This window comes from Homo sapiens, chromosome 19 (assembly GCF_000001405.40).
Source record: "Homo sapiens chromosome 19, GRCh38.p14 Primary Assembly".
Taxonomy (NCBI): Eukaryota; Metazoa; Chordata; class Mammalia; order Primates; family Hominidae; genus Homo; species Homo sapiens.
Window position 1 is genome coordinate 5,841,590 of NC_000019.10, and position 19,930 is coordinate 5,861,519.

The 19,930-nt window shown below is 51.6% G+C and overlaps 1 protein-coding gene and 1 long non-coding RNA gene across 13 annotated transcripts, besides 1 other annotated feature; one reads left to right on the forward strand and one right to left on the reverse strand.

Annotated features, from left to right (window-relative positions):
- Positions 1,299–15,533, reverse strand: FUT3 (fucosyltransferase 3 (Lewis blood group)). 12 transcript variants are annotated; one of them, NM_001382749.2, is given in 3 exon segments: positions 1,299–3,262; positions 4,837–4,964; positions 15,443–15,533. In NM_001382749.2, a coding segment is annotated over 1 exon segment (1,086 nt). In that variant the 5' UTR covers positions 3,251–3,262; positions 4,837–4,964; positions 15,443–15,533; the 3' UTR covers positions 1,299–2,164.
- On the forward strand, positions 5,878–16,650 carry LOC101928844 (uncharacterized). The gene is made up of 4 exons (NR_110740.1): positions 5,878–6,179; positions 10,915–11,084; positions 12,982–13,073; positions 16,027–16,650. It is a non-coding gene; the product is annotated as an uncharacterized LOC101928844 (long non-coding RNA).
- Positions 13,526–13,913: a silencer, noted in NCBI's record as "fragment chr19:5855126-5855513 (GRCh37/hg19 assembly coordinates)". NCBI's record gives its function as "represses an EF-1alpha promoter that drives an FKBP-Casp9 reporter gene in an ReSE screen in HepG2 liver carcinoma cells {active_cell/tissue: HepG2}" and the evidence as "EXISTENCE:reporter gene assay evidence [ECO:0000049][PMID:32094911]".

Genomic DNA, 19,930 nt, shown 5'->3' on the forward strand with positions numbered 1-19,930 from the left:
GGCTGGGCGTGCCATGAACCACATGTGAGATCCGGGGCATACAGGGAGGCAATGGGGGTTTGAGGGCAGTGCTGGGGTTCCAGAGGGGGCAGGCCAGAGCCCCCCAACATCGGCCAGGTGGCTGGGCCTCTGCCCTCGTGGGACCCAGGGAGGGTTTCCATGTCCCTCTAAGCCTCAGAGGAAATTCCAGAGGCAGAGAAAGAGAAGTTGGGAAAGGGAGCTCTTCACTCTGACATCAGCTGAGGTAGAGGCGGAGACCACAGGGGCTCCAGGGGCGTCAGAGGACAGAGCAGCCTGTCCCCACACCTCTTACCCCCTGGGGACTGGGCCTGCCCCAGCCTGTTAGGAAGCCCTGGCCTGGCCTGCCGAGGGCCCCGTCCCCCTCCCAGGACCCGTGGCTTGCAGCCAGGTGGTGGGGAGAGGGGCCCAGGTGTGTGGTGTGGGTGGCAGGTGAGTGATGGGCCCAGCAAGGCTGGCTCAGGCCCGGGGTCACCAGAGGGTTTGGTAGAGACTCTTCAGGCCCCCCACACCCTCCCCACCCTATGCCCCTCCACCCTCCCACCTGGGCCTCAGGGAGGCATCACAGGCACCTCTGCACCTCCACTGTACAGATGGGGAAACTGAGGCTCAGAGAGCACCTGGGATTCACCACCACCACCCACGTCTTGGTCTCCCCTGGCAATTTTATTTTACTTTATTTTATTTTATATATATATATTTTTTTTGAGACGGAGTCTTGCTCTGTCACCCAGGCTAGAATGCAGTGGTGCAATCTTGGCTCACTGCAACCTCCACCTCCTGGGTTCAAGTGATTCTCGTACCTCAGCCTCCCAAGTAGCTGGGATTACAGGCGCATGTCACCACGCCAGGCTAATTTTTGTATTTTTAGTAGAGACGGGGTTTCACCATGTTGGCCAGGCTGGTCTCCAACTCCTGACCTCAGGTGATCTGCCCGCCTCCACCTCCTAAAGTGCTGAGATTACAGGCGTGACCCATTGCACCTGGCCTATTATTATTGTTATTTTTGAGATGGAGTCTCACTGTGTCGCCCAAACCGGAGTGCAGTGGCGCCATCTCAGCTCACTGCAAGCTCCACCTCCTGGGTTCACGCCATCCTCCTGCCTCAGCCTCTGGAGCAGCTGGGACCACAGGCACCCGCCATGACACCTGGCTAATTTTTTGTATTTTTAGTAGAGACGGGGTTTCACCGTGTTAGCCAGGATGGTCTCGATCTCCTGACCTCGTGATCCACCCTCCTCGGCCTCCCAAAGTGCTGAGATTACAGGCGTGAGCCACCGTGCCTGGCCGGCCTATTATTTTTTATTTAGAGACGTGGTCTTGCTATATTGACCAGGCTGGTCTTTAACTCTTGGCCTCAATCAATCCTCCTACCTCAGCCTCCCAAAGTGCTGGGATTACAGGCGTGAGCCACAGCGCCTGTCCACCCTTGGCATTTTGTAGACAGCAGCAATTTCCCTCAACCCCAGAATATTTGGAATGTTCCAGAAGTCCTCATTTACAGTCGATCCCACCTGTACCCTATAAGTGGTGGTCCTGGGCTTGAACTTGGACCTGTCTGAACTCTGAGCTCTTAACCCCTGAGGTGAGAACCTGGGGTGAGCTCTTAACCCATGGGACCAACCCCTCTAGAGTGAGGAGACACGTCATCATTTTTCCTTGCAGTATTACATCTGGAAACCGTGCCGTGATGATCTCTCTGCACCCCTCACAGGCGGCTAACAACATCACAAACAAATCAGCCAGAACCATCACTCCCGGGTGGGGCCCCAAGTAAGCCAGTTCCCCAGGGCCCAGGGCCCTCCAGGGTGAGGTCCCCAGCAGGTGAGATTCAGTGTGGCAAGGTCTCTGGGAGCAGGTCCCAGCAGGTAAAGTCCCCGACCGCCGACATCCTCAGTAGGTGCAGCCTCCAGCAGCCAAGGTCCCCAGCAGGTGAGGTCCCCAGCAGGTGAGGTCCCCAACAGGCGAGGTCCCCAGCAGGCGAGGTCCCTAGCAGGCAAGTCTTCTGGAGGGGAGAGGCTCCTGGCAGCCGTGAAGCCCAGCGTGTGAGGTCCCAGGTAAGAGAGAGGGTTGGCCACAAAGGACTCCAGCAGGTGAGGCCCCAGGCAGATGAGGTTCCCGGCAGCCCAGGCACCATGCCGGCCTCTCAGGTGAACCAAGCCGCTATGCTGCGCACCGTCTGGTACCTGGATTCCTGCTGCAGTTTCCAGCAGGCCTTGCAGAAATCCAGTGCCCAGCTGAAGGAGCGAGGCCGCAGCGTCTCCCGCCAGCGAAAGTAGCTCAGGTAGCGGGCGTGGTCCTTGTCCAGCTCCTGCAGGTACCGGGCCAGGTCCTTGGGGCTCTGGAAGTCGTCCACGTGGATGAAGGCGTCGGGTGGCAGGAACCTCTCGTAGTTGCTTCTGCTGGGGCCCAGCACCACGGGCACGGCCCAGGCCTCCAGGGCGTTCCTCCACAGCTTCTCGGTGATGTAGTCGGGGTGCAAGGAGTTCTCGAAGGCCAGGTAGAACTTGTACCGGGACAGCGTCTCCATCATGGTCCCCTTGGGCAGGGGCTTGTGGGAGCGTCCGTACACGTCCACCTTGAGATGAGCCTGCAGGCTCTGGTAGTAGCGCACCCTGGCTGAGTCCGGCTTCCAGTTGGACACCGCCCAGGCCACCAGCTCGGTCTTGGCCGAGAGGTTGAGCGGTGGGTGGGCAGGCTGGCCGGACCACGGCTCCAGCCAGCCGTAGGGCGTGAAGATGTCGGAGTCGCTGCGGTAGGACATGGTGAGATTGAAGTATCTGTCCAGGGCTTCCAGGTGCTGGCAGTTAGGGGGTGGCTCCAAGTTGAACCAGATCCAGCGCTGCCCCTGCGGCCTCGGGGAAGGTGGGAGGCGTGACTTAGGGTTGGACATGATATCCCAGTGGTGCACGATGACCATGTCTGCCTGTGGGTACACCTTGCGGTCGGCAGTGATGTGGCAGTCGGCTGTGCCGGGCACCATCTCTGAACAGCGGGACAGAGCCACAGGGATGTGGAAAGGCCATGTCCGTAGCAGGATCAGGAGGGTGGGGCGGGTGGGAGTGGTGTCCTGTCGGGAGGACCCACTGGGAGCCCTAGGGGATCCAGTGGCATCGTCTCGGGACACACGCAGGTAGGAGAAGAAACACACAGCCACCAGCAGCTGAAATAGCAGTGCGGCCAGACAGCGGCGCCATGGCCATTGTGGCTTGGCTGCACCCAGGGGATCCATGGGTCAGAGTATCTGGGAAGAGAGGAGAGAGGAGTGAGGGTCATTGATGACAATCTCCTGCTTACCAAAGCTCCGGGCCATGAGTCCTGAGAGGAGCTGCTATTATTCCTGTTTCACAGATGAGAAAACTGAGACCAAGTGACTCACAGCAAAAATCAGCACAGCTGGTGTTTGAACAAAGGGACCTTGTCCCAGAGTCCACTTCCTTCTACCTATTAGACAAGACCTTTCCTGGAATCCCCGAAGTCTTCCCCAGTCTACTGAAATACAAGTGCCCTGGAGGCAGGGGAGAAGGCATAGCCGGTCATCATTGCTTCCCATGTCACTGAGGCAAGGCTTGAATCCATGACTCAGCCAGAGAAAGGTACAATGGGACTGGGTTTTGCAGGTAATATATGAGCTGACCGGCCGAGCAGAGTGGCTCACACCTGTAGTCCCAGCACTTTGGGAGGCCGAGGTGAGCAGATCACCTGAGGTCAGGAATTTAAGACCAGCCTGGCCAACATGATGAAACCCCATTTCTACTAAAAATACAAAAATTAGCTGGGTGTGGTGGTGCACACCTGTAGTCCCAGCTACTTGGGAGGCTGAGGCACGAGAATCACTTGAACCCAGGAGGCGGAGGTTGCAGTGAGCCAAGATGACACCACTGCATTCCAGCCTGGGTGACAGAGGGAGATTGTGTCTCAAAAATAAATAAATAAATAATAGCCGGGTTTGGTGGCTCATGCCTGTAATCCCAGCACTTTGGGAGGCTGAGGCAGGTGGATCACTTGAGGTCAGGAGTTTGAGACCAGCCTGGCCAACATGGTGAAACCCTGTTTCTACCAAAAATACAAAAATAAGCCGAGTGTGGTGGCTCATGCCTGTAATCCCAGCTGCTCGGGAGGCTGAGGCATGAGAATCACTTGAACCTGGGAGGCAGAGGTTGCAGTAAGCTGAGATCATGCCACTGCACTCCAGCCTGGGTGACAGAGCAAGATTCCATCTCAAAAATAAATAAATAAATAATTTTTTTAAAAAAAGACCAGCCTGGGCAACATGGCAAAATCCCAACTCTACTAAAAATACAAAAATTTGCCGGGCAAGGTGGCATGCGCCTGTAGTCCCAGCTACTTGGGGGAATTGCTTTAGTCTGGAAGTTTGAGGCTGCAGCAAGCTGTGATCATGCCACTTAACCCCAGCCTGGGTGATGGAGCAAGACCTTGTCTTAAAAAAATAAAATAAAAGGCTGGGCTCGGTGGCTCACACCTGTAATCCCAGCACTTTGGGAGGCTGAGGTGGGCAGATCCCAAGGTCAGGAGATCGAGACCATCCTGGCTAACATGGTAAAACCCCGTCTCTACTAAAAATACAAAAAATTAGCCAAGCGTGATGGCGGGCGCCTGTTGTCCCAGCTACTACTGGGGAGGCTGAGGCAGGAGAATGGCGTGAACCCGGGAGGCGGAGCTTGCAGTGAGCCGAGATAGTGCCACTGCATTCCAGACTGGGGGACAGAGCGAGACTCCATCTCAAAATAAATAAATAAATAAATAAATAAATAAATAAACATAAGGTAATACACGAAAAACTTTTGACTTACACACCTTAAATGGATTCACTGTATGGGTTGCGAATTATATCCCGATGAAACTGTTTTCAAATGACATGGTGGTTGCCTGCTTTCTCTGTTGGACCGAACTGGTCTAAGCCTTGCAGTGTCGAGCGGAGCTCCCTGTAGGTCACCTGAGTGTGACGAAAAGGGATCCCGACGCCAAGACCTAAGTTCACACCAAGGTTCTGGAAAGAGACTCAAAACACAGGCCCTCAGGGGACAGCCTGAGCCCAGAGTGGGAGGGAAGTTGAACTTTGACCAATTACTGCTTTGCACCCTTGGGCTCTGGGGCCTCAGGCACGAGGTAAATTTTTATAATGTAACTGATATTAAGATGGAATTACGTCAGCCCTGGATATATGGCAGCCTCTCCTAGGAGACAATGAAGTCTTTGTCAGTGACCTTCAGGAGGGTAGATTGGGGGAAACAGGTGATTGGTGGGGGCGATTTTCAGGCCTCTGAGCCCAAGCTAAGCCATCATATCCCCTACGACCGGCTCATATACGTTCAAATGGCCTGAAGCAACTGAAGATCTACAAAAGAAGTGAAAATAGCCTTAGCTGATGACATTCCACCATTGTGATCTGTTTCTGCCCCACCCTAACTGATCAATATACTTTGTAATCTCCCCCACCCTTAAGAAGGTTCTTTGTAGGCCGGGCACGGTGGCCCAAGCCTGTAATCCTAGCTCTTTGGGAGGCCGAGGCGGGCAGATCACGAGGTCAGAAGATCAAGACCATCCTGGCTAACACGGTGAAACCCTGTCTCTACTAAAAATACAAAAAAAAATTAGCTGGGCGTAGTGGCGGGCGCCTGTGGTCCCAGCTACTCCGGAGGCTGAGGCAGGAGAATGGCTTGAACTCGGGAGGCGGAGCTTGCAGTGAGCCGAGAAAGAGCCACTGCACTCCAGCCTGGGCGACAGAGCCAGACTCCGTCTCAAAAAAAAAAAAAAAAAGGTTCTTTGTAATTCTCCCCACCCTTGAGAATGTACTTTGTGAGATCCACCCCTGCCCACAGAACATTGCTCCTAACTCCACCGCCTATCCCAAAACCTATAAGAACCAATGATAATCCCACTACCCTTTGATGACTCTCTTTTTGGACTCAGCCCGCCTGCACCCAGGTGAAATAAACAGCCTCGTTGCTCACACAAAGCCTGTTTGGTGGTCTCTTCACACGGACGCATGAGACATTTGGTGCCGAAGACCCGGGTCAGCGGGACTCCTTCGGGACAGCAGTCCCCTGTCCTCACCTTCACTCCCTGAAGAGATCCACCTACAACCTCAGGTCCGCAGACCAACCAGCCCAAGGAACATCTCACTGATTTTAAATTGGGTAAGTGGCCTCTTTTACTCCTTCTCCAACCTCTCTCACTATCCCTCAACCTCTTTCTCCTTTCAATCTTGGCACCATCCTTCAATCTCTCCCTTCTCTTAATTTAAATTCCTTTCATTTTCTGGTATAGACAAAGGAGACACATTTTATCCGTGGACCCAAAACTCTGGCGCCGGTCACGGACTTGGGAAGGCAGCCTTCCCTTGGTGTTTAATCATTGTGGGGACGACTGCCTGATTATTCACCCACATTCCATTTGTGTCTGATCTCCGCGGGGACACCTGCCTTGGTCATTCACCCACATCCCTTGGTGGCAAGTCAATTGCAGGGACGCCTGCTTTGGCTGCTCACCTTACCCCTTCTCTCCGTGTCTCTACCCCTTCTCTACTTTCCTGAGGGGCAAGCACCCCCCACCCCGTTTCCATTTTCCTGGGGGGCAAGCACCTCCCATCCCTTCTCCACTTTCCTGGGGGATAAGCATCCCCCACCCCTTCTCTCCGTGTCTCTACCCTTCTCTTTAAACTTGCCTACTTCACTATGGGCAACCTTCCACCCTCCATTCCTCCTTCCTCTCCCTTAGCCTGTGTTCTCAAGAACTTAAAACCTCTTCAACTCTCGCCTGACCTAAAACCTAAATGTCTTATTTTCTTCTGCAATGCCGCTTGACCCCAATACAAACCAGACAGTGGTTCCAAATAGCCAAAAAATGGCACTTTCAATTTTTCCATCCTACAAGATCTAAATAATTCTTGTCATAAAATGGGCAAATGGTCTGAGGTGCCTGACGTTCAGGCATTCTTTTATACATCGGTCCCTCCCTAGTCTCTGTTCCCAATGCAGTTCATCCCAAATCTTCCTTCTTTCCCTCCTGCCTGTCCCCTCAGTTCCAACCCCAAGCGTTGCTGAGTCTTGAATCTTCCTTTTCTACAAACCCATCTGACTTCTCCCCTCCTTCCCAGGCTGCTCCTCACCAGGCCGAGCTAGGTCCCAATTCTTCCTCAGCCTCTGCTCCTCCACCCTATAATCCTTTTATTACCTCCCCTCCTCACACCCAGTCCAGCTTACAGTTTCTTTCCGTGACTAGCCCTCCTCCATCTGCCCAACAGTTTCCTCTTAAAGAGGTGGCTGGAGCTAAAGGCACAGTCAAGGTTAATGCTCCTTTTTCTTTATCCGACCTCTCCCAGATCAGTTAGCGTTTAGGCTCTTTTTCATCAAATATAAAACCCAGCCCAGTTCATGGCCCATTTGGCAGCAATCCTGAGATGTTTTACAGCCCTAGACCCTGAAAGGTCACAATGCCGTCTTATTCTCAAAATGCATTTTATTTTATTACCCAATCTGCTCCTGACATTAAATAAAGCTCCAAAAATTAAATTCCGGCCCTCATACCCCACAACAGGACTTAATTAACCTCGCCTTCAAGGTGTACAATAATAAGAGTAGAGGCAGCCACGTAGCAATGTATTTCTGAGTTGCAATTCCTTGCCTCCACCGTGAGACAAACCCCAGCCACATCTCCAGAACACAAGAACTCCAAACGCCTGAACCGCAGCTGCCAGGGGTTCCTCCAGAACCTCCTCCCCCAGGAGCTTGCTACAAGTTTTGGAAATCTGGCCACCGGGCCAAGGAATGCCCGCAGCCCGGGATTCCTCCTAAGCCATGTCCCATCTGTGAAGGACCCCCAATGAAAATCAGACTGTTCAACTCACCTGGCAGCCACTCTTTTGTTTAGTTTCTCAGTTCATACAAAACCGCATCCAGGCCATCACCAATAATTCTATACGACAAACACTCCTTCTAACAACCCCACAATATCACCCCTTACCCCAAAATCTTCCTTCAGCTTAATCTCTCCCACTCTAGGTTCCCACACCAACCCCTAATCCCGCTCGAAGCAGCCCTGAGAAACATCGCCCATTATCTCTCCATACCACCCCAAAAAATTGTTGCCACCCCAACACTTTACCACTATTTCGTTTTATTTTTCTTATTAATATAAGAAGACAGGAATGTCAGGCCTCTGAGCCCAAGCTAAGCCATCATATCCCCAGTGACCTGCTCGTATACATCTAGATGGCCTGAAGCAACTGAAGATCCACAAAAAAAGTGAAAATAGCCTTAACTGATGACATTCCACCATTGATTTGTTTCTGCCCTACCCTAACTGATCAATGTACTTTGTAATCTCCCCCCAACCCTTAAGAAGGTTCTCTGTAATTCTCCCCACCCTTGAGAATGTACTTTATGAGATTCACCCTCTGCCTGCAAAACATTGCTCCTAACTCCACTGCCTATCCCAAAACCTATAAGAACAATGATAATCCCACCACCGTTGCTGACTCCTTTTTCGGACTCAGCCTGCCTGCACCCAGGTGAAATAAACAGCCTTGTTGCTCACACAAAGCCTGTTTGGTGGTCTCTTCACACAGACATGTGAGATCGCGATGAGGACTGAGATCCCACCCCAGTTGAACCCAAGATATTTTTTCCTAGAAAAAGATTAAAAAATGCTACTCTGCTGAGACATCACAAAGATCAGGAAGCAAAAAGCAAAAAAATAGCTGGGCGTGGTGGCTCATGCCTGTAATCCCAGTAGTTTCGGAGAGTGAGGTGGGCAGATCTCTTGAGCCCAGGAATTCAAGACCTGCCTGATTGGCCGGGTGCAATGGCTCATGGCTGTAATGCCAGTACTTGCGGAGGCTGAGGTGGGCAGGTCACCTGAGGTCAAGAGTTTGAGACCACCCTTGGCAACATGGTGAAATCTTGTCTCTACTAAAAATAAAAAATTAGCCAGGTGTGGTGGCAGGCACCTTAATCCCAGCTACTCAGGAGGCTGAGGCACAAGAATTGCTTGAACGAGGGAGGCAGAGGTTGCAATAAGCCGAGATCATGCCACTGTACCCCAGCCTGGGCGACACAGCAAGACTCTGTCTCAAAAAAAAAAAAAAAAAAAAAAAAAAAAGTCCTGCCTGAGCAACATAGTGAGACCCCATCTCTACAAAAGAAAAAAAAATTAAAAAGTATCCAGGTGAGGTGGCACACACCTGTAGTCCCAGCTACTCCAGAGCCTGAGGCAGGAGGGTCACTCGAGCCCAGGAGTCTGAGGCTGCAGTGAGCCATGATTGCATCACTGCACTCCAGCCTGGGCAACAGACCAAGATTCTGTCTCAAAGAAAAAGAAAAAAAAAATGCATCTTAAGTCCACCCCAGGCAGGGCAGGGCCAGAGAGAATCCAAGGCCAGAAAAGATGAGTGGGGGGAGGCTGTTGATGGGGTTGGGGTGCAGAGGGGACTCCACTCCAGAGCTCTGCCAGAGAGAGAGACAAACGTCACTCTTTCCTTCCGGTTTGGCAAATCACCCAGAACCTTCCATGTCCTCCCCAACGGTGGTGCATGCCACACCCAGAAAGACCCCTGCCTGTGACTAGGGGGTGCTGGCCACATTCCAGGTCATGGACAGTTTGGTGACTCTCCACCGGGATTTTGTGCCAGCCCAGCCACATCATGAATCAGGGCCCATAGGATGGGGGCCGAGGGGAGGAGGGACGGAGCCAGGAAGCCTTTCCTGGGAGGTCTCCCAGGCATTCTGGGTGGGGGGAAAAGGTAGAATGGGATAACTTACCTGGAGAGGCAGCGAGCAGTGGATGAGGACAGCTCACCAGGAGGCCATGGCAGGTTTCCTGGGGCGGGGAGGAAGTGGGAACAGAGAAGAGGAGGAACAAGTACGTGTACATTGCAGCACACACCTGTCACCAGGTGACCTAGGGTGTTCTCCCCTGCAGCAGGGATATTGTCTGGAAGCCAGTTTCCGGGGTGTCCTAATCTCGCCTGTGAGACCGGATAAGGGTGCAGGAACTTGGAGGCCCGGGACGTGACCCGGGCTCCATCTGTAGCCTGAAGGCTGCCTGGCTTTGGGTGCACAGCTGGTCCATCCATAAAGTGAAAACGCTGGTCTAAAGCTTTGATTCTCAAAGTGGGTCCCACGGGGGCCCCATGGGTTTCTCGGGAGATGGTAAAGGGAGAGAAGTGAGCAGAATTTTAACCATCCCACCCATTCAGTCAGTCAATCAACAAACATTGCTTATGCACCTATTGCATACCAGACCCAGGGAGAGTGCAGGGAGCAAGTGGGTGAATCAGACAATACATGACTTTTGTAAGGGAACAATTCTTCAGGCCTCTGAGCCCAAGCTAAGCCACCATCTCCCCTGTGACCTGCACGTGTACATCCAGATGGCCTGAAGCAACTGAAGATCCAGAAAAAAAGTGAAAATAGCCAGTTCCTGCCTTAACTGATGACATTCCACCATTGCGATTTGTTCCTGCCTCACCCTAACTGATCAATTGACTTTGTGACAATACACCACCCCCTTGCAATAATGTACTTTGTGATATTCCCCCGCCCTTGTGAACATACTTTGTACAATATACCCTCGTCACCCTTGAGAAGGTGCTTTGTAATATCCTCCTCCCTGCCCTTAAGAAGGCACTTTGTAATATTCTCCCCCTCCAGCCCTTAAGAAGATACTTTGTAATATTCTCCTCACCCTTGAGAATGTACTTTGTAAGATCTACCACCTGCCCGCAAAAAATTGCTCCTAACTCCACTGCCTATCCCAAACCTATAAGAACTAATGATAATCCCACCACCCTTTGCTAACTCTCTTTTCGGACTCAGCCCGCCTGCACCCAGGTGATTAAAAAGCTTTATTGCTCACACGAAGCCTGTTTGGTAGACTCTCTTCACACGGGCGAGTGTGACATTTGGTGCCGAAGACCCAGGACAGGAGGACTCCTTTGGGAGACCGGTCTCCTGTCCTCGCCCTCACTCCGTGAGGAGATCCACCTGCAACCTCAGGTCCTCAGACCAACCAGCCGAAGGAACATCTCACCAATTTCAAATGGGGTAAGCAGTCTTTTCACTCTCTTCTCCAGCCTCTCTCGCTACGCTTCAATCTCCCTGTCCTTCCAATTCCAGTTATTTTTCCTCTGTAGTAGAGACAAAGGAGACACATTTTATCCGTGAACCCAAAACTCCGGCGCTGGTCACGGACTTGGAAAGACGGTCTTCCCTTGGTGTTTAATCACTGCAGGGACGCCTGCCCTGATCATTCACCCACATTCCATTGGTGTCTGATCACCGCGGGGGACGCCTGCCTTGCTCATCACCCACATTCCCTTGGTGGCAAGTCAATTGCGGGGACACCTGCTTTGGCTGCTCACCCCCCAAAGCCCCACTTCTCCGTGTCTCTACCTTTCTACGGGCAACCTTCCGCCCTCCATTCCCCCTTCTCCCTTAGCCTGTGTTCTCAAGAACTTAAAACCTGTTCAACTCACACCTGACCTAAAAACCTAACTGCCTTATTTTGCAATACTGCTAGGCCCCAATACAAACTCGACAACGGTTCCAAATGGCCAGAAAACGGCACTTTTGATTTCTCCACTTTACAAGACCTAGATGATTTTTGTTGAAACATGGGCAAATGGTCCGAGGTGCCTGACGTCCAGGCATTCTTTTTTTTTTTTTTGAGACGGAGTCTCGCTCTGTCACCCAGGCTGGAGTGCAGTGGCGCGATCTCGGCTCACTGCAAGCTCCGCCTCCCGGGTTCACGCCATTCTCCTGCCTCAGCCTCCTGAGTAGCTGGGACTACAGGCGCCCGCCACCATGCCCAGCTAATTTTTTTTATTTTTAGTAGAGACGGGGTTTCACTGTGTTAGCCAGGATGGTCTCGATCTCCTGACCTTGTGATCCGCCCACCTTGGCCTCCCAAAGTGCTGGGATTACAGGTGTGAGCCGCCATGCCCGGCCGCGTCCAGGCATTCTTTTACACACTGGTCCCTCCCTAGTCTCTGCTCCCAATGCGACTCGTCCCAAATCTTTCTTCTTTCTCTCCTGTCTGTTCCTTCAGTCTGCACCCCAAGCTCTGAGTCCTTTGAATCCTCCTTTTCTACGAACCCATCTGACCTCTCCCCTCCTCCCCAGGCTGCTCCTTGCCAGGCAGAGCCAGGTCCCAATTCTTCCTCAACCTCCGCTCCCCCACCCTATAATCCTTCTATCACCTCCCCTCCTCACACCCGGTCTGGCTTACAGTTTCGTTCCGTGACACAGCCCTCCCCCACCTGCCCAACAATTTCCTCTTAGAGAGGTGGCTGGAGCTGAAGGCATAGGCAAGGTTAATGCTCCTTTTTCTTTAGCTGACCTCTCTCAAATCAGTTAGCATTTAGGCTCTTTTCCATCAAATATAAAAACCCGGCCCAGTTCATGGCCCATTTGGCAACAACCCTGAGATGCTTTACCACCCTAGACCCAGAGGGACCAGAAGACCGTCTTATTCTCAATATGCAGTTTATCACTCAATCCGCTCCTAACATTAGAAAAAACTCCAAAAATTAGATTCCAGCCCTCGAACCCCACAACAGGACTTAATTAACCTTGCCTTCAAGGTATACAATAATAAAAAAGATACAGCCAAGTGGCAACGTATTTCTGAGTTGTAATTACTTGCCTCCGCTGAGAGAGAAACGCCAGCCACATCTCCAGAACATGAGAACTTCAAAACGCCTAAACCACATCTGCCAGGCATTCCTCCAGGACCTCCTGCCCCAGGATCTTGCTTCAAGTGCCGGAAATCTGGCCACTGGGCCAAGGAATGCCCGCAGCCTGGGATTCCTCCTAAGCCGTGTCCCATCTGTGCAGGACCCCACTGGAAATCAGACCGTCCAACTAGCCTGGCAGCCACTCCCAGAGCCCCTGGAACTCTGGCCCCAGGCTCTCTGACTGACTCCTTTTCAGATCTTCTCAGCTTAGCGGCTGAAGACTGATGCTGCCTGGTCGCCTCGGAAGCCCCCTGGACCATCATGGACGCCGAGCTTCGGGTAACTCTCACAGTGGAGGGTAAGGCCATCCCCTGTTTAATTGATATGGGAGCTACCCATCCACATTACCTTTCTTTTTTTTTTGAGACAGAGTCTCTCTCTGTCACCCAGGCTGGAGTGCAACGGAGCAATCTCGGCTCACTGCAACCTCCACCTCCCGGGTTCAAGGGATTCTCCTGCCTCAGCCTCTCGAGTAGCTGGGATTACAGATGCCCGCCACCACACCCGGCTAATTTTTGTATTTTTAGTAGAGATGGGGTTTCACCTTGTTGGCCAGGCTGGTCTCGAACTCCTGACCTCAGGTGATCTGCCCGCCTCGGCCTCCCAAAGTGCTGGGATTACAGGCGTGAGATACCACACCCAGCCCACATTACCTTTCTTTCAAGGGCCTGTTTCCCTTGCCCCCATAACTGTTGTGGGTATTGACAGCCAAGATTCAAAACCCCTTAAAACTCCCCCACTCTGGTGCCAACTTGGACAACATTCATTTATGCACTCTTTCTTAGTTATCCCCACCTGCCCAGTTCTGTTATTAGGCCGAGACATTTTAACCAAATTGTCTTCTTCCCTGACCATTCCTGGACTATAGCCACATCTCATTGCCGCCCTTCTTCCCAAACCAAAGCGTCCTTCGTGTCTTCCTCTTGTATCCCTCCCACCTTCACCCACAGGGAGGGGACACCCCTACTCCCTCCCCGGCAACCAATCACACGCCCGTTACTATCCCATTAAAACCTAATCACCCTTACCCCGCTCAATGCCAGTATCCCATCCCACAACAGGCTTTAAGGGAACTAAAGCCTATTATCCCTCGCCTGCTACAGCATGGGCTTCTAAAGCCTATAAACTCTCCTTACAATTCCCCCATTTTACCTGTCCAAAAACTGGTCAAGTCTTACAGGTTAGTTCAGGATCTGCACCTTATCAACAAAATTGTTTTTCCTATCCACCCTGTGGGGACCAACCCGTACACTCTTTTGTCCTCAATACCTTCCTACACAACTCACTATTCAGTTCTTGATCTTAAAGATGCTTTTTTCACCATTCCCCTGCACCCCTCATCCCAGCCTCTTTTTGCTTTTACCTGGGCTGACCCTGACACCCATCAGTCCCAGCAGCTTACCTGGGCTGTACTGCCACAAGGCTTCAGAGACAGCCCTCATTACTTCAGCCAAGCTCTTTCTCATGATTTACTTTCTTTCCACCCCTTTGCTTCTCACCTTATTCAATATTTTGATGACCTTCTACTTTATAGCCCCTCCTGCAAATCTTCCCAACAGGACACCCTCCTGCTCCTCCAACATCTATTCTTAAAGGGATATTGCGTATCCCCCTCCAAAGCCCTGATTTCTTCCTCATCCGTTACCTACCTCAGCATAATTCTTCATGAAAACACACGTGTTCTCCCTGCCGATCATGTCCGGCTGATCTCTCAAACCCCAACCCCTCCTACAAAGCAAAAACTCTTTCCTTCCTGGGCATGGTTGGGTACTTTTGCCTTTGGATACCTGGTTTTGCCATCCTAACAAAACCATTATATAAACTCACAAAGGGAAATCTAGCTGATCCCATAGATCCTAAATCCTTTCCCCACTCCTCTTTCCGTTCCTTGAAAACAGCTATAGAGACTGCTCCCACACTAGCTCTCCCTGACTTAGCCCAACCCTTTTTCCTTACACACAGCCGAAGTGCTGGGCTGTGTGGTCAGAATTCTTATACAAGAGCCAAGACTGTGCCCTGCAGCCTTTCTATCCAAACGACCTGACCTTACTGTTTTAGGCTGGCCCTCATGTCTACATGTGGCAGCAGCCACCACTTTAATACTTCTGGAAGCCCTCAAAATCACAGGCCAGGCTCCACTTGCCCTCTACAGTTCTCACAACCTTCAAGCGTTAATATCCTCCTCACACCTTTCACACCTACTGTCTGCCCCTCGACTCCTCCAGCTCTGTTCACTGTTTACTGAAACCCCAACAGTAACTATTGCCTATGGGCCCGATTTCAACCCAGCTTCTCACTTAACACCCAACACAAGTCCTGAACCACATGACTGTGTTTCCCTAATACACATAGCATCTTCCCCCTTTCCTCAGATTTCTATTCTTCCAATTCCAAACCCAGGCCACACTTGGTTTATCGATGGCAGTGCTTCTAAACCCAATCAATTTTCACCAGCTAAAGCTGGATATGATGTCTTGTCCCACACCTTTATTATCGAAGCTGCTGCACTTCCTCCCTCCACCACTTCCCAACAAGCCAAACTAATTGCTTTAACTCGTGCGCTCTCTCTTGCTAACAGAATGCACATTAACATTTACACTGACTCCAATATGCTTTCCACATCCTCCATAACCATGCTGCCCTCTGGGCTGAAAGAGGCTTCCTTACCACACAAGGCTCTTCCATGATCAATGCCTCCCTAATAAAGGCCCTCCTTAAGGTTGCTCTCCCGCCGGCCATGGCTGCAGTCATTCATTGTAAAGGACACCAGAAACCTACTGATCTTATTGCAAAAGGAAATGCCTATGTCGACAGGACAGCAAAAGAAATAGCCAATGCCTCCACACCTGCCAATATTCCAGCCCCCGCTCCAGAGGGCCAGTATTTTTCCACAAAAGAAGTGAAAATAGCCAGTTCCTGCCTTAACTGATGACATCCCACCATTGTGATTGGTTCCTGCCTCACCCTAATTGATCAATTGACTTTGTGACAATACACCCTCCCTGCCCTTAAGAAGGTACTTTGTAATATCCTCCCCCTGCCCTTAAGAAGGTACTTTGTAATATTCTCCCCGCCCATGAGAATGTACTTCGTAAGATCCAACCCCTGCCCGCAAAAAATTCCTCCTAACTCCACCGCCTATCCCAACCCTATAAGAACTAATGATAATCCCACCACCCTTTGCTAACTCTCTTTTCGGACTCAGCCCGCCTGCACCCAGGTGATTAAAAAGCTTTATTGCTCACACACAGCCTGTTTGGTGACTTTCTTCGCACCGACGTGCGTGACACAATGTTTGCAGAATATGAAGGTGGCTGTCACGTGGTCTGGGCTTCCTGGAGGTTTGAGCTGGGAGCTGAAGCCCCGTAGGAGTTCTGTAAGTCAAAAGGGAAGAGAAGAGCATTCCACGTAGAGAAAAGAATCTGTGCTCCAGGCGCGGTGGCTCACGATTGTAATCTCAGCACTTGGTGTCAGGCCTCTGAGCCCAGGCTAAGCCATTGTATATCCCCCGTGACCTGCATGTATACATCCAGATGGCCTGAAGCAGCTGAAGAACCACAAGAGAAGTGAAAATAGCCAGTTCCTGCCTTAACTGATGTCATTCCACCATTGTGATTTGTTCCTGTCCCACCTTTACTGATCAATTAACTTTGTGACATTTCTTCTCCTGGACAATGAGTCTCATGATCTCCCTACCCAGCACCTTGTGACCCCTGCCCCTGCCCGCAAGAGATAACCATCTTTAACTGTAACTTTCCACTACCTACCTAAATCCTGTAAAAACTGACCCACCCCCTATCTCCCTTTGCTGACTCCTTTTTCGGACTCAGCCCGCCTGCACCCAGGTGATTAAAAAGCTTTATTGTTCACATGAAGCCTGTTTGGTGGTCTCTTCACACAGACACGCATGACATTTTGGGAGGCTGAGGCGGGTGGATCACCTGTAGTCAGGAGTTTGAGACCAGCCTGGCCAACATGGTGAAACCCTGTCTCTACTAAAAATACAAAAATTAGCCGGGCGCAGTGGTGGGCACCTGTAATCCCAGCTACTCAGTAGGCTGAGGCAAGAGAATCGCTTGAATCCAGGAGGAGGAGATTGCAGTGAGCCGAGATCATGCCACTGCCATCCAGCCTGGGTGACAGAGACGCTGTCTCAAAAAAAAAGAATCTGTGCAAAGCAGAGGTCCAGGCGCATTAGAGGAGCTGAAGGAAACTCTAGGCTGGGTCTTCACAAGCGGAAGATGAGACAGTGCTGCTTCTGGGGCTGAGCCACATCCAGCCATGGTCAATGGTGGCATGTTTAGCACCAGGGTGATAGGAAGCCGTGCAAAGCTTCAAGCAGTGGGGTTGCTTTTTTTTTTTTTTTTTGACACAGAATCTCACTCTGTCGCCCAGGCTGGAACTGCAATGGCATGACCATGACTCGCTGCAGCCTCCACCTCCCAGGCTCAAGCGATCCTCCTGCCTCAGGCTCCCGAGTAGCTAGGGCTACAGCCATGTGCCACTATGCCTGGCTAATATGGTTTATTTTTTGTAGAGACGAGGTCTCGCTATGTTGCCCAGGCTGGTTTCAAACTCCTGAGCTCAAGCAATCTGCCCGCCTCAGCCTCCCAAAGCACTGGGATTACAGGCGTGAGCCACTGCGCTCGGCCATTTTTCTTTTCTTTTTTTTTTTTTTTTGAGACAAGGTCTCACTCTCATCCAGGCTACAGTTCAGTGTGGCGATCATAGCTCACTGCAGCCTCTAACTCCTGGGCTCAAATGATCCTCCTGCCTTAGCCTCCCTGGTTGCTAGCAGTACAGGCGTGCACCACCACGTTAATTTTTAATTTTTTTTTTTTGAGATGGAGTCTTGCTCTGTCTTCCAGGCTAGAGTACAGTGGTGCAATATTGGCTCCTCCGCCTCCTGGGTTCAAGCGATTCTCCTGCCTCAGCCTCTTGAGTAGCTGGGACTACAGGCACATGCAACCACGCCTGGCTAATTTTTGTATTTTTAGTAGAGATGGGGTTTCACCATGTTGGCCAGGCTGGTCTTGAACTCCTGGCTTCAAGTGATCCTCCCACCTCAATCTCCCAAATCCCTGGGATTACAAGCGTGAGCCACCGCACCCAGCCAGGTTACCATATTAATATGTGGTTTGAGATGCTTTATCAGGACATGCTGGGCACAGGCCATCGGGACAGAGCAGAGGAGAGCGGGGAGGAAGAGGAGGCTGTTTTCAGGTGTCCTGGCAAGCGGTGAGGGTCCTCTGCCCCAGAGCGGTGGCCTCACCAAGGCCCTCTGTGTGCCTCAAAAGCACTCCTTTGGCCGGGCACGGTGGCTCACGCCTGTAATCCCAGCACTTTGAGAGGCCGAGGCGGGTGGATCATGAGGTCAAGAGTTCGAGACCAGCCTGGCCAACATGGTGAAACCCCATCCCCACCAAAAAAAAAAAAAAAAAAATACAAAAATTAGCCAGGTGCGGTAGCAGGAACCTGTAATTCCAGCTACTTGGGAGGCTAAGACAGGAGAATCACTTGAGACCGGGAGGCGGGGGTTGTAGTGAGCCAAGATTGCGCCACTGCACTCTAGCCTGGGAGACAGAGCAAGACTCCGTCTCACAAAAACAAAACAAAACAAAAAACAAAAGCCCTCCCTTTCCCCACCCTCTCCTGTAAATCACAGGAGAAGTCCAGGGAGCCAGATAAGCTTCCTGGAATGGAGAAGAGAAATGATCTGGAAGGCTGTCCTTGAGACAGGATGGCCTTCAACTCTGTCAGTCCCAAACTGGGTGCAGGGGCGACCGAATCTAAGGTCCAGCCTCCATGTATGATGTCTTCCCTGTTCTAGAAATCATTTCCAGGAGGCTGCTTCACGCTGCCTGGGGTTCCACCATCTCAGTGCCCAGCCAGGCCCAAGACAGTGGGGAAGATTGAGGGGACAGGGCTGGGCCAGGGACTGGAGTCTCCCAGGCAGGCCATTTCCAGAAGGGGTGACCTAAGTCTGCTCTCTGCTCATGTCCTCGCTGGGGGCATTCTCTGTGACTGATTAAAACAACTTGTGGGGTTATCAGTCTTGGTATCACTTTGTCCTGGTGTTAGAGGAAAGGGGTTCCAATCAGACCCCAAGAGAGGGTTCTGGGATCTCACGTAAGAAACAATTCAGGGCTAGTCCCTAGAGTAAAGTGAAAGCAAGTTTATTAGGAAAGTAAAGGAATAAAAGAATGGCTACTCCATAGAGTAGCCCTGAGGGCCGCTGGTTGCCCGTTTATGGTTATTTCTTTTTTTCTTTTTTTGAGACGGAGTCTCACTCTATCGCCCAGGCTGGCTGGAGTGCAGTGGTAGGATCTCAGCTCACTGCAACCTCCACCTCCTGGGTTGAAGCGATTCTCGTGCCTCAGACTCCTGAGTAGCTGGGACTACAGGCGTGCGCCACCTCGCCCAGCTAATTTTTGTATTTTTAGTAGAGATGGGGTTTCACCATGTTGGCCAGGCTGGTCTCGAACTCCTGACCTCAGGTAATCCACCCACCTTGGCTTCCCAAAGTGCTGGAATTACAGGAGTGAGCAACCACACCTGGCCTGAACCACCGTGCCCAGCTGGTTATTTCTTGATGATATGCTAAACAACGGGGAGATTACTCATGCCTCCCCTTTTTAGACCACATAGGGTAACTTCCTGATGTTGCCATGGCATCTGTAAACTGTCCTGGTGCTGCTGGGAGTGTGGCAGTGAGGATGCCCTGAGGTCACTCTCATCACCATCTTGGTTTGGGTGGGCTTTGAGGATGCCCTGAGGTCACTCTCATCACCATCTTGGTTTGGGTGGGCTTTGAGGATGCCCTGAGGTCACTCTCATCGCCATCTTGGTTTGGGTGGGCTTTGAGGATGCCCTGAGGTCACTCTCATCGCCATCTTGGTTTGGGTGGGCTTTCACCGGCTTCTCAACTGCAACCTGTTTTACCACCAAGGGCTTTATGACCTGTATCTTGCGCCGACCTCCTGTCTCATCCTGTGACTTAGAATGACTTAACCACCTGGGAATTCAGCCCAGTGGGTCTGAGCCTCATTTTACCCAGCTCCTATTCAAGATGGAGTTGCTCTGGTTCACATGCCTCCGAGAGTGGAGCCCCAGCCAAGCCCGGATGGGCAAGGCTTCCGCCCCACACAGCTGTCC